We start from the raw sequence: 13,993 nt of genomic DNA, 5'->3' as shown, positions 1-13,993 counted from the left end.
AGCCTAAGTGGGTGAGTCAGAGATAATGGGGTCAGCTGAGAACTGGTTGAGCTGGAGGTGTTAGCTGGGTTACAGCGGGGTTGTGCTGTGGGTATCAGTCAGAGGTGCTGCCTGGAAGAAAAGACAGCATTCTGGTGTTGCCCCGGGCACAAGTGAGGCCTCCCAGTTTCAAAGCACAGTGGCTGACATGTAACAATTCGTTCATGTTGATCAGAAAAAAAAAAAGAGAAAAAGGAGACAGAAGCTAATTTGGGTTGCCAGATTTAGCACATAAAAATACAGGAGACCCAGTTAAATTTGAATTTCAGAAAATTACAAATAATTGCAATATTGAGGACGTACTCCTACTAAATAATTATTCATTGTTTATCTGAAATTCAAATTTAACAAAATGTCCTCTATTTTATCTGGCAACTCTGAAACTAATGTAAGAACAATTATTTTAATTACCTCAAAACAAGAAAAATAATTAAACCAAGTGAAGGGAAGTATGCAAGAGGATGTATTAATAGTTTAACATAATTGACATTAAGAGCATCTGGGCTCTAAATACAGACTTTGAATTAAAACAATAATTATGATTAAGTTCGAGTCTTCCTTGGGTCCCAGGGAACAAGCATTCCTGGGCTGTGCAAGAGAGGACACTCTCCTCCCCCTAGTTTCCCAGGCCTCAGGCTTCTGCAAACATGGAGGCCACTCCTGGAAGAAAGGCCTGCGGCCGGGCGGGCCTCTCTAGTCAGTCTCCCCCACAGTACACACCTCCAGCTGCTTCCTTTGACTGGTGTGGCCACAGATCAACCAGAGTAGGCAGAGGATGCAAGACCCCTGGGACTTTGACCATTTTCAGGGTCTCAAAAGTACATTTTGTTCCCTGGAATGGCTGTGTTAAGTGGGGTCTGTTGCCGCAGCCAAGCCCCAACCCTCTAAATCCCCAGCCCCACCAGGCTTAAATTTGCATATGGTCTCCTCAGGCTCCAAAGGGCAGTTTAGTATGGTCCTCCACCCATTCATTCTGGGTTTTGCATTTCAGGATTTGGTAAGCAAATGTACCTGAGGCCTGTGGGCAGCTGGGGCTTCCTTGCTGGGCCTGGCGGGACCTGGAGGTTGTCTGCTCTCTGGGGAGGAGGGGGGCAATTATTTTCTGGACAGGCTGGAAAAATTGAGGCTGAAGTTGTCCTCCTCACGGAACATTTTCACTGAGGTGTGAACAGCAGACAGAGAGCCCTCATTTGTGTTGGCTGCAGGGGAGGGACATTTGGCCTCCTTCTTCCTCTACAGCCACCCAGGACTCCAGGGCAGCCTGTCTCAACACCACAGCACCACATAATCCCGGGGGAGCTCTAAAGATCTCAATGCCTGGGCTGCCTGACCAAATTCAGCCAGCGATTCCAGTGACCAGCTCAGGCCAAGCCGTTAGTACACTGTAAGAATTAAAAACCAAACAACCAGAACTTGGGCTCCTGCCACCACAAGAAAGAGGAAGCGTGTCGTTGGCTCAGTCCTGCTGGGCCCCCAAGAGTTTTGCCCTTGGACAGGATCCTGGGGAGACTAGAAATGATCTGGCTCATCTCAAAGAAGCAAGCTCAGGCCAAGGTTGAGAGGAAGGTCCATGAGTGCCGATCAGTGCTGGCATCCATCAGTCTGTCCAGAGTAGGGTAGTGGAAGGGTTGAAAGGATCGCAGGAAGCTGAGATGCTCACCCTGGAAGGGAAACAGATCTTGTGCACCATCGGGGCTGGGAATAGGTGTTGCCCCTGGTCCTCAAAAGGGCCCAGAGTCAGGGGAGTGTGCCGGACAGCAGTGAGAAGCAGGCTTGGCCTCAGGGTCCTCAGGTTCTCTCCCGTTCCAGCTCCCGTTCTCTCTCTCGGCTCACAGCTTCCTAGGAAATCCCCCATCTAGGACTTCCCTAACCTTAGTTCCACCGGGGATCACCCTTACAGGTTCATACACCTTGGGCAACCCTCAGCAGGTAGCCAGGCCTGTTATAGCCAATGCATGGAAATTGGAAATCTCAAGCTACACCAAAAGCCAGTTAGGGGGTTCATTTCATTACACAGGGGTCTTTTGCTGCTTGCAAATGTAATCTCCAGTGGGAGGTGATAAAAGGGTGTTTGAAACATCATTCCATGTATGAAAGTTCAACTGATACTTGTTTTTTTAGGAAGGGGATGGGGCTGAAGTGGTCTCCGGATGGCTGAGTACAGTTGTGCAGATTTTACACTATACAAGGGTACAGTGCCATATAAAAGGGGTAGGCGATTCGCAGACTTATGCATGTCTGTGCATGTTCTTTGTAGTTTTCTAGCAGTTGTCAGTCAAGTGTCTTGCTCTAACAAAATCAGCATATTATGACAATTTTCCAGCGGCTGGTAGTCAGGTTCTCCAGGAAGAGGTGCTATTTTCTTAGTATAAAAGGTACTGCCTGGGCTAGTGTTGACCTTGACTATGACCAGGAAGGGAAGGTGGGAGAATAAAAGGAGCTGGATCAATGAGACCCAGGAGTCACCACAGCATCCCAGAACAGGACAGGCAGTATCTGCCTTCCAAGGTCATCCTAAGGAATTCCACACTTCAGGGCAGCATTCCTGGATCCGGCTGGGATGAGGTCTGTAGGTGACCCAAACTGTCTCAGAAGTGGAGAGCAGAGGGAAGTTGAGTGGGCAGGGAGCAGACCTGGATAGGAGAAGCCGAGGAAGAACAGGTGAAAAGAAGGGAGACAAAAGGGAGAATCAGAAGACCTCACTTCCAAGACTTGCCTCCACCTCCTGTGTCACTTGGGGCAAGTTACTTGCCCTCTCTAGGAAATTGGAGGAAGACACTTGCCGAGCCCAGAGAAATGCTGGGATGTGGACTTGTACATTCTTGGATAATTTTAAAATCTCCGTAATTTTCAAATCTATCATTCTGTTGCTTAGACCCTGCAATGACTCTGCAGCACCACACGGGAAGTCCAGCCTCATTAGCCGGTCATCCAAGGCAGCCTGACCTACCTTCCACCACATCTCCAAGTTCACTTCCAGGCCTCTCCGCTACCTCCATCCTTGCAACTGCAGTTAACTGCTTGCATAGACTATTTCCTTGTTCTGGGCCATCCCGTGTGCCTGGAATACCCTCCCACACCCTTATCCTCAGTCTGACTAACTTCTGCTCATCTTCCACACCTCCACCAGGTTCCCTGAGATCCCCAAGCTAACAGAGTGAATTAGCTGCCTCTCCTCTGTGCTTCTATTCCATAGTAATCCAGTGGTTCTCAAACTCCAGCGTGCATCAGTCATCTGGTGGACTATGTGAAATACACACCGCTGGGCCCCAGCCCCATTTCCGATTCAGTAGGTGCAGGGTGAGCCCAAGAATCTGCATTCCTAAAAGCTCCTAGGCAGAACCATGCATTCAGATACCCTCTCTCTGCTCCTTTCTCTTGGTGCCCCAGTCCTACACACTGCCCCGGGACCCTCCCAAATGTCCCACACAGGCCTGGGCACTGGTCATAAGGTTCTGACATGTCTTGTTAACCAGAATTACACAGGATGCTTCCACATTCAGCTTCTCAGTTAAGTCCCAAATAACCATGGGTTGAAGGCAGGGTGAATGTTATAGAGAGAAACTGAAACTCCCACTAAGTAAAGTAACTTGCCAGAATAGAGAAACCAGTGCTAACCCCTGTGACTTCTGACTCCCACCCCAGTGCTCCCACCACCCTCGTAGGCTGTATCACTAAGTTGGAACATCAAGACACTGGTGACAGATAACCTGAATTGGGATCCTGGCTCTGCCACCTACCAACTGTGTAGCTTCGGGCATGTTACTTAACCTCTCTGTGCCATGGTGCTGGGCACGTAAGTACTATGTAAGTTGTAGCTATATTATTACATTCACATCGGAATGGGGGAAATTCCATAGAAACTCAAAGAAAAGGATCTTTTATGGTGGAAACTTGGGGCATCTCACAGACTTGGTAGGAATTTGGAGGATTTGGGGGCAGGATGGAGTCCTCCTTCTCCATTTGTAGCCTGTAGGCAGCCTCTCAATTTCTCACTCTGTCTCTTCATTTTGAGGCCAGTGACACAATCCAGAGTCGGATGACCACGGAACCCTTACTGGAGGAGAGCCAAGGCTAGCAGAGGAAAGCTAGGCTGATGCGTACACCCACCCAAGCTCCAGGAGAAGAGCAAGTCTGGCATCACTGCCGTTCCTAGAATGAAAGGGTCCTGGAGCAGACTTAACCCAGCCTGCAGCCTAAATAGAGCTATCCCAGCCAACACATAGGCCCATGAAAGAGAAACACAAATGTTTGTCCTTGTAATCCACTGAGATTTGGGGGGTTGTTTGTTATGCAGTGTTATCATAGCAGCAACAACTGACTAATACAGTTTGCATCAGAGTATGAATTTCAACCTCTGATTAAAAAACAACACTGATTAGTGTATGGGACATCTACACTTTAGCTTTTGTTCTAGCCTCTCTCTACTTGTCTGCAGGGATATCAGCTGGGGACTGGAAGTTTGCACAGGACTAGCCATGGATGTGACAGTGGTTGTAATTTGGGAGGAAATGAACAGGTTTCTCCTCTTCCTGAATCACTCCCCCCTTCTCCATCCCTAACATTTTTGAGCTTCTCTTTTCTACCCCTTACCCCAGCCTTTGGAATTGCTTAAGACCATCGATTGGTAAATTGCCACCTCCAGGCAGGCTCAGCATCTGTTCTGTAAAGGAACGCAGCAGACAACCACCTGCCTGGTGCAGGAGGTGTGACCCAATGACAACAATGCTTCCCACAGTTTATGAATGTTGTCTTGTTTGTTTTTATCACAGCCTGCTTCTTTGTAAAGCACCTTCATTCCCAGAAGGTTTGTTAACCAAAGTGGCTCTTGCTGAATTGCACAGTTCCCGCTTCTCTGCTGCAGTGGGAAGAGAGCTGGCCCTGGAATCAAGGAACTGGAGCCTGGGCTTGGCTTCCAGATAGTGCTCCTAGTCCCAGGGAGGCTCCCCACACCCACCGCAGATCCGTGGCTTCCCAAGGCCGAACGTGACCATGAGCTCCTAGAGACAGAGATAAGGACACTCAAAGGTCAGGGAAGTGTTGGGGCTGGAGATCAAGAATGAGTGAGAAGAATCCCAGGCTGGGATTGTTGATCCCATGAACCCAGGGACCTCGAGCTGCCGTCCTGCACCCTCCCTTACCTACCTGTCATCCAGAAAGAACATGTGGTTTGCTCCACTTCCTGCAGCAGCTCTCAGAATCTCCGCTACCATACTGCTTCCCACCACTCATCAAGTGCATTGCTTAGACTTCGAGATGAGCCTTTGGCCGCCGGGTGAGCCTCTGACCCTTGTCTGTCTGATAAATCCCTGTGCCCATCCAGGGACCCCACTTGGGACAAGAACAACCAGGAAGGATGTTGCTCAGAATGATTAGAGGTTTTTCTGACCAACAAAGACTTGAAGCAAATTATATAGCAGTGCAGGTCTGTTCCATTCAGAGAATACTATGTTGCCCAGCCCAGACTCCAACTCCTGGGCTCAAGCAATCCTCCTGCCTCAGCCTCCCGAATAGCTGGGACTACCGGCACATGTCAACATGCCTGGCCAATTCAGAAAATACTTTGATAACCCAATGAAATAACTGTAAATAATACCCGACTTGGTTTGAATCTGAGGCTCTCATTTTGAATTTGCGAGTCTGTTTGTATACATGCATGGGGCTTTACTTAAAATATGATGACTCGGTAAAAAAATTAAAACTTGGTTTAGGTGGGACTCAAAGTTCATCAGATTCTTAGGTTTTAGTCTTATCTTTGATCTAAAGTTAGACTAGGAGTAAACTGTTGAAACTTGGGGATAGAGTTTTAATTCATTTTTTATTTTGCCAGAGTCCAGGAGAGTGTTTGGCACTTAGTAGGTGCTCAATAAGTGTTGACTGACTAAGTCAAAGACAGCATAATATAGTCAAAAAGCTATAAGAAGCAGGCCTACATTGACTAGGGCCCTTAACTGTATGCTGGCAACATTTGAGTGTCACGTAGGCACTCACTTGTCTAGTTTTGTTTTGTTTTTTTTCGAGATGGGGTTTCGCTCTTGTTGCCCGGGCTGGAGTGCAATGGCGCAGTCTTGGTGCACTGCAACCTCTGCCTCCTGGGTTCAAGCGATTCTCTTGCCTCAGCCTCCCGAGTAGCTGAGATTACAGGTGCACACCATCAAGCCTGGTTAATTTTTGTATTTTTAGTAGAGATGGAGTTTCACCATGTTGGTCAGGCTGTTCTTGAACTCCTGACCTCAGGTTTTCCACCTACCTCAGCCTCCCAAAGTGCTGGGATTACAGGCATGAGCCACCATGCCTGGCCTGTCCAGTTTTGTATTTAAGTAGCATAAATACAAACATAATATGTAAACATAATACCTACTTATTGTGAGCTATTACACATTCTGCATTCTATGAAGCAATTTACATCATCGATCACATTTAACTCTCACAACTTTATGAAGTGGTATCATCCCCATTTTACAGGAAATGGAGGCTCAGGGAGAGCAAGTGTCCCAACCATGATCCCTGAGTGGAGCTGTGGCAGAGCAGGAATTTTATGTCGGATGTGTCTGTTCCAAAGCCCAATCTCCCACTGCACCCCCTACTCCCTTACACTCTCCTCTATTCCTCGGAATCTCTCTGAACACAGTTCCCAAAGCTGCTCCTCTCCGTGGGATTTAAGGAACATTAGACATGCTCACTGCACTTTGCTGCTTGGTTTTTTGGATCCCGAATGTCTTGGGAAGCCTTTTCTGGTGCCACTTGTCTTTTGCTTGTTCTTCTTGAAGACCTTATTCACCCAGTTTGAGTCTTCAGCAGGGCTCTCCCTAGGCAAAGAGATTAAGTAGATGGTTCATTATGGGCCTGACCTCGGTCCTCCAACATGGTGGCCTGCTCAGCTCCGCAGGTGGACACACCCGCGCTGTGGTTCTCAACCCTGGCTGAGGATTGGATTTCCCAGCAAACTTTTTTTAAAATATAATCAATGAATATTTATCTAAGTAACATCATGCCCATGAGTCAAATGAAACTCCGACTTTTATAGAGTTATATGTAAATGCAAAAAAGTTTAAATTATGTGAACAAAATGCATAACTTATGCCTAAGCTCAAAATTGTTAAATTTATACAAACTCTTTCAAAAAGTTTTATGGTTAAAATTATACTTAATGTGGGAAGCAGGTAAATTTTAATATGCTTGATGTGAGAGAGAGTGCAAACATTAAAAGCAGGAATGCCTCAGGCCCTGCTCTCTCAATACCTGCAGCTGTGGTCATGGAGAAACCCAGCTACTGCCAGAGTGGTCCCAAGGCAGGGAGGGATGAGAGGGGGGCTGGGGTTGTGGGGAGAAATACCCTTGACCCAACTTCTGATCTCCTGCTGTGCCTCCCCCACCACCAGTACAAACGGCATTCAGCCAGCAAGGGAGCCTGGGTAATGTGGTCCTCAGGGAAGTTTTTAAAAAAGCAGATCCCCAGGTCCTCTCATAGTTATTGCAAAGATATAATGGAGTGTATGTTATGCAACCCAGACACTTGATGTGCATAATAAAAAAGATTTTCTGGGGACAGTCTACAGTCTAGTACTATCAGGTCATTATCATGCTAATAGAAAATAGTTCGGAGTAAGGAAGGCCTTTGATAGAGACCCTTAATTCATTTCATGCAGGAGCTACCTAAGGCTGGGAGGTAGGATGCCTGCAGGCCCTCTTGGAACTGTGGCATCACCAGAGAGTAAAATATGAGGGCAGGGGATGCACATTCTTGCACTGCACTCAGAGAAGGAGCATCCCCAGTGTGCAGGAGAAGAGAATGACATCATCACCACGGACAGGCTCCTTCCCCACACACTGCCCTAACTGAACAAGAGAAGGCAGCTTTGTGAGATGTAAAGGGGTGGACCTGGAATCACACAATCACACACACCAGAAAAGGATCCCAGAGTTCCTGGGGCAGCTAAGGTGGTGGAAGATATCGCTTAGCCGGGCTTGCTTCTTCCGTCCAAAGGAAAGAGCGTGCTCCACGAAGGGGAAACTTACGTTACATAAGGCTTGCTGACGGTTTCCTTCACATGAACCAGAGGCACGGCGCTTTTTGGTTTTGAAGAGACAAGAAGAGCTACAGCTAAAAGTAAAGATATAGGAAACGGGAGTGAGATGGGGAGGGGGGATATGGAGTCATTTTTGAAATAGCAATAGTCAGTAAATGAGAATGTTTAAAAACAGCAAAGAACTCTCTTGTCCTCAAATTCTCATCTTTACAACCAGAGTCATGTCGTGGGACTTGACTGAGACGCAGGCCCGCGGCATCTGTGGAGCGGCTGACTCGGACCCTTGGTGGAACATTAGAAACAACTCCCAGGGGCAGGCCCGGTGGCTCATGCCTGTAATCCCGGCGCTTTGGGAGGCCAAGGCGGGCAGATCACTTGAGGCCAGGAATTTGAGACCAGTCTGGCCAACATGGTGAAACCCTGTCTCTACTAAAAATACAAAAATTTAGCTGGGTGTTGTAGTGCATGCCTGTGATCTCAGCTACTCGGGAGGCTGAGGTAAGAGAATCACCTGAGCCTCAAAAGTTGAGAGTGCAGTGAGCCGGGAGTGAGATACTGTCTCCTCCTCCACCACCAAAAAAAAAAAAAAAAAAAAAAGAGAAAAGTAAAGAAAAATAAGGAAAAGAAAAGAAATAGCTCCCTCGCAGAAAGCAGCATGTTAGGGAAGGTTTTCAGGAAAATCCCCTGAAGGGGCCTGGACTTTCCATCACATGCTTCATGTAATGCTTTTTGTTTGTTTCTTAGAACAGAGTATTAATAGTTTCATGGCCATTACTCTTAAGTAAGCTCTTTACATGTTTTTAATGAGTATGGGGATACATAATACATGAAGGTTAATATGTAATTATGTATTATATATAAATAAAGGTAATATAAAGTATATGTGGGTTCTTCTGAAGTTATTTTGTTAGAGACTTGTTGTATGTCCCTAACTCTCCCAAATCTATTCACAATGAGGCTTGTCCTTTTGTTTTTGGATATTCCTAGGGCTTTTAACAATTTTCCTGTTCCCCAATGCCACCAATGGCCATCATTAAATGACTGATACCACTAAACTCTAGGGCAGGGGTGTCCAATCTTTTGGCTTCCTTGGGCCACACTGGAAGAAGAATTGTCTTGGGCCACACATAAAATACACTAACAGTAATGATAGCTGATGAGCTGAAAAAAAATCCAAAAAAAATCTCACAATGTTTTAAGAAAGTTAATGAATTTTTTATAGACTGGTGCATTCAGAACCATCTGGGCCGCGGGTTGGATAAACTTGCTCTAGGGGGTCTCAGCTCTGCCTAACTCACATAGATGGCCTAGGATGTCACCATTGAGGCTCAGCTGTAAGCTATAACATGGCTTCTCAATCTCAGTACATGCTATTGACACTAACGGTCAGAAAGCACTTTGTGCAGAGACTTCTGTGCACTACAGGATATTTTTCAGTGTCCCCAGCCTGTAACCACTAGGTGACAACCAAAATGTCTGCAGACATTGCTAAATGTCTCCTGGAGACAAAATCACTCCCAGTAGAGAATCACTAGACTATATATGCCCTCTATCCACCCCCGATATGAGTGAGGAATGCCGACTTGGGGTGCAGGATTGCTCAGGTACCTGAAGATGGCCGCCTTCATGCACAGGTGTGGTTAATGTAAAACAAGTGTTTTGTATTTAACAGGAAATAAGAGAGCAGGTAAAACACTGCGCCCAATTTTCTGACTTTTTTTTTTTTTTTTTTTTTTCCTGAGACGGAGTCTCACTCTGTCGCCCAGGCTGGAGTGCAGTGGCACGATCTCTACTCACTGCAACCTCCGCCTCCCAGGTTCAAGTGATCCTCCTGCCTCAGCCTCTTGAGTAGCTGGGACTGCAGGTACTTGCCACCATGCCCGGCTAATTTTTTGTATTTTTAGTAGAGATGGGGTTTCACCACGTTGGCTAGGCTGGTCTCGAACTCCTGACTGAAAGTGACTTGCCTGCCTCTGCCTCTCAAAGGCATGAGTCACAGCCTAATTTTCTTAATGGTGTTTTGTTTTTGTCTCATTAAAAGAGTCAAAGTAAACCTGTTCCAAAGAAAGGGCATCTCTACCAAGTTGGGGCTAATTCCCAGATGAGGAGACATTGCCGATCTGTGACGTTTACCATAATAGCTCTGGAAGTTTGGCTGAGGACCATGAGCACCCTACAATCTGGCTTCAGTCCTTCATTTGGGTCTCTGTCCCTCTGTCTCCACCCAGACCATCCATGGTGGCCACACACAAGTCCTCTCCTTCCTAAAGTACCTTGAAAGTACCCTGCACATTCCTGCACTGCACCTGAGCATTTTAAATAAACAAAATCGGAAATGCTCTTTCTACTCCAACCCATCCAATCCCACAAACCACGATGTTCAAAATCCTGCCCATTTAAGCTCACCTGTCACCTCCAAGAAGCTTTTCATACTGCCCCAGAGATAAGTGGTCTTATTCTCTACGAATACCCTCCAACACTGTGTTTTTATTAGTTATATAGTACTTAATACTTCTGATATATATATATTTTTTAAATGGAGTTTCACTCTTGTTGCCCAGGCTGGAGTGCAATGGCACAATCTTGGCTCCCTGCAACCTCCACCTCCTGGGTTCAAGCGATTATCCTGCCTCAGCCTCCCAAGTAGCTGGGATTACAGGCATGCACCACCAAGTTTGGCTGATTTTTTTGTATTTAGTAGAGATGGGGTTTCACCATGTTGGTCAGGCTGGTCTTGAACTCCTGACCTCAGGTGATCCACCCGCTTTGGCCTCCCAAAGTGCTGGAATTACAGGTGTGAGTGACCACACCCAGTCCCTGATTGTATTTTTGAGGTTAGTATCCCTGTTATCTCCTCTGCTGAAAGGGAGATTTCCTGAGTAAGGAATTGAGAACGTTTTATCTTTGCAGGCCCTATAGTGGTGCTTCTGAAACCGTCTGTAGTAGTAAGGAAACAGTTTTTTAAAAATTTCTGGCTGGGCGCGGTGGCTCACGCCTGTAGTCCCAGCACTTTGGGAGGCCAAGGCGGGCAGATCACAAAGTCAGGAGATTGAGACCATCCTGGCTAACACAGTGAAACCTGTCTTTACTAAAAATACAAAAAATTAGCCAGGCGTGGTGGCGGGCATCTGTAGTCCCAGCTACTCGGGAGGCTGAGGCAGAAGAATGGCGTGAACCCGGGAGGCAGAACTGGCAGTGAGCCAAGATCACGCCACTGCACTCTAGCCTGGGCGACAGAGCGAGATTCCATCTAAAAAAAAAAATTTCTTTGTAGTCTATAACAAACTAGTAATTTTGTGAAATACAATGCAAATGAATTAGTAAAAAATGGTCAAGCTCCGGGATGTTGTGGAAATACCTTAGTGCTATAAACGTTTCTAAATGATTACTCTTAATTTCTGCACACCCTCCGTGGTGGGCTAGTAACACACAGTTGAGGGCTGGGTTGGTCTGCGGACCACTCTTTGAGTAGCACGCCCAGCACAGCAGGTTTCACAGTAAAAATCTACTGGCCCAGCGGTCTCAAATGTGAGCAGGCAAAAAATCACCTGGAGGGCTTGTAAAAAAGGCAGCTGGGCCGCACCTCCAAAGTTGGTAATTTAGTAGGTCTGCAGTAGGACCTGAGAACTGTAATTTCTAGCAAGTTCCCAGGTGATGCTTTTGCTGCCGGTAGGGGGATCGCACTTTGAGAAGCACTGCACCAAGGGAAATGAACCAATGTCTATTACACTGCCCCCTTGTGGCGGACTGTCCTCATAATGGACAGAGATGCTAAAGCTCACTGCTAACTTCAGCCACGCACCCCTAAAGAAGCGGTTATCAGCCCTGGTGTCCTTGCTCGCTTGCCAAGGGGCTCCAGGCATGAGAAAGTCATAACAAGCCAGAAGGGTCCATACCTTGGGGCTGTTCTTGGCCTAGTTCCTCCACAGGTGGCTGAGCAGGGAAGGCTGAAAGAGAACTTCGGGGCAGTGTTTGAGGTGCCCCCACAGTTGAAGGCCCCAGGGATGGCCTGGGTGAAGTGGGTGCCTGAGAGTGTAGGGATCTGGCTGGTGATCCAGACGGTTGTACCTGCTGCTGAGGTGACAGAGGTGACAGTCCAGGTGGTGGGGTGGGCAGTGATGAACCAGGTGTGGAGCTGGGTGGCTTGTGCACAGCTGGGAATGATACAGGTGGCATGCCACTTAGAGAAAGTGGAGTTGAAGAGGCCAGTGGCTGTGCAGGTGGCTGCTCAAGTGGAGAGACTGGTGCTGAAACAGGTGACTCGCATGTGAATTCAAGTGTCTGCACAGGTTGGGACACAGGCGGACCATGGCTGCCCCTTCCATCCCCTTTGGGAACCCACTCCTTGTGAGGTTGTGTGGCTCCTTCCAGACTGGCCTGCCGTGCTCGAAGGCTTGGTTGACTGCGTTCAGGGCACTCATTGCCAAGGGCGAGTTCTATCTGGCAGTACACTTCCACCCGGGGGAAAATCACTCTCTTGGAGGAAGAATTAAGATAAACAGCATCTAGGATAAACAATAGCATGGGGTGTTACTCAGCCCTGGCAGCAGCATGGCCTTTGCAAAAATGGTTTCTTGAGTTATTTTCCTAAACAGGAACAGTGCTTTTCAAAGGTCTTTCTGTACTTACTTGAATTTACAGTGAGTGAAAACAAACGTGATGGTTTCTGGCACTTACGGTGTAGTGTGGGGAAGCAGGCGTTGCCCACCCAAATTATCTAGAGTTTCAACTGAGGCAAGTGCAGGAAGAGAGGAATGTGGTGCTGTGAGAGAGGGCAGGTCATCTGAGGGATTGGCAGTGAGTAGAGATCTGAAGGGTACGTGGCCCAGGATGGTCAGGGCGGGGTGGTGAGGGTGTTTCAGCAGAGGGAACAGCACACACAAAGGCCACAAAGTTTGAGGACACACCAGGTGGTCGGGGGCCTGAAAGGTCAGTGTGGGGCGGGGGTACTGTGCTGGGGGAGGAGGCTGAGGAGGCGGCAGGGGCCGGACCATGTCAGGGCTGTAGGCAGCAGCTAGGATCCTTAGTTTTCATGGCAAGCATTATTGTAGCATGACTTTTAGGCAGGGGAGGTAATCAGCTGAGGCTGGTTCTGAGAAGGTCACTGTGGCTGTAAGACTCATTGAGAAAGGTGAAAGGGTTGCCTGAGCCTGGGAAGCTGAAGCTTCAGTGAGCCATGATCGTGCCACTACGCTCCAGCTTGGGTGACAGAGTGAGAACCTGTCTCAAAAATAGTGGGTGGGTGGGGGGGCGGGGGGATGGCGTTTATCTAGGCCACATAACAGCCCTTAAATAAGAAAACAAACAATTCAGTTTTTAAAATGTGTGAAAGAGCCAACTGAAAGGGCTCCCAATGGCCAAAGCTGGAACAATTTGAAGAACACAATAAAGTAGTATTGAATAATAACCCAAAGTATAACATAACCATGAATCCATACTGATATAAACATATATTACGTAGGTAAGTAAATCAGGGAGAAGAGAGAAAGCTCCCCTGCAGAAGAATTCTTAGTAATTTATGTAGATGCTTGACCCTTTAGGAAGTGGAGCATAACTTCTCACTCCTTAAATATGAGCTGTGCACAGTGACTTTCTTCCAAAAACTGCAGTAAGGATAGAGGGAGAAAGAGTACTTCACAATGGAGAAACCCGATGGACACTACCTCGGCCAGGCGGTCATGGTCAACATCAGCAGGGATACGTCATGTTGGCAGCACGTGCCCATGAGGTAACGTGATGTGAATAGCACCTTACCTCTGTGGTCTCCTCCCCAGAACTCAAAACCCCAGCTTAATCTTGAGAAAAACATCAGACAAACCCCAACTGAGGGACGTTCTACAAAATACCTGACCGATAGTCAACTCTGTCAAGGTCATCAAGAATAAGAAAAGTCTCTGTAATCCCAGCACTTTGGGAGGCCGAGG

The 13,993-nt window shown here is 47.4% G+C and overlaps 1 protein-coding gene across 7 annotated transcripts in view, besides 4 other annotated features; it reads right to left on the bottom strand.

Moving 5' to 3' along the window:
- Positions 480-13,993, bottom strand: part of PNPLA1 (patatin like domain 1, omega-hydroxyceramide transacylase) — a 70,788-nt gene continuing 57,274 nt past the window's right edge. For 3 of the 7 annotated variants that reach the window (XM_011514520.3, NM_001374623.1, XM_017010779.2), the window contains 4 exons: positions 11,966-12,574; positions 8,059-8,143; positions 6,723-6,848; positions 480-2,672 (listed from right to left, as the gene is read on the bottom strand). In XM_011514520.3, coding sequence (XP_011512822.1) covers positions 2,549-2,672; positions 6,723-6,848; positions 8,059-8,143; positions 11,966-12,574 — 944 coding nt within the window. In that variant the 3' untranslated portion in view covers positions 480-2,548. Of the gene's footprint in view, positions 2,673-5,839; positions 6,849-8,058; positions 8,144-11,965; positions 12,575-13,993 lie in introns of those variants that run through there. The other 4 variants (NM_001145716.2, NM_173676.2, NM_001145717.1 and 1 more) reach the window with 2 other exon arrangements.
- Positions 1,227-1,336: an enhancer, noted in NCBI's record as "active region_24423". NCBI's record gives its function as "activates an Ori minimal core promoter by ATAC-STARR-seq in GM12878 lymphoblastoid cells {active_cell/tissue: GM12878}" and the evidence as "EXISTENCE:reporter gene assay evidence [ECO:0000049][PMID:35858748]".
- Positions 1,527-1,706: an enhancer, noted in NCBI's record as "active region_24422". NCBI's record gives its function as "activates an Ori minimal core promoter by ATAC-STARR-seq in GM12878 lymphoblastoid cells {active_cell/tissue: GM12878}" and the evidence as "EXISTENCE:reporter gene assay evidence [ECO:0000049][PMID:35858748]".
- Positions 11,795-12,295: an enhancer, noted in NCBI's record as "H3K4me1 hESC enhancer chr6:36269917-36270417 (GRCh37/hg19 assembly coordinates)". NCBI's record gives its function as "activates a minimal SCP1, AML or CMV promoter by ChIP-STARR-seq in naive and primed H9 embryonic stem cells {active_cell/tissue: H9 hESC(naive and primed)}" and the evidence as "EXISTENCE:reporter gene assay evidence [ECO:0000049][PMID:30033119]".
- Positions 11,877-11,926: a silencer, noted in NCBI's record as "silent region_17112". NCBI's record gives its function as "represses an Ori minimal core promoter by ATAC-STARR-seq in GM12878 lymphoblastoid cells {active_cell/tissue: GM12878}" and the evidence as "EXISTENCE:reporter gene assay evidence [ECO:0000049][PMID:35858748]".

This window comes from Homo sapiens, chromosome 6 (assembly GCF_000001405.40).
Source record: "Homo sapiens chromosome 6, GRCh38.p14 Primary Assembly".
Lineage (NCBI taxonomy): Eukaryota > Metazoa > Chordata > Mammalia > Primates > Hominidae > Homo > Homo sapiens.
Note: the sequence above shows the minus strand (reverse complement) of the source record. Positions and strands in the feature narration are given on the sequence as shown.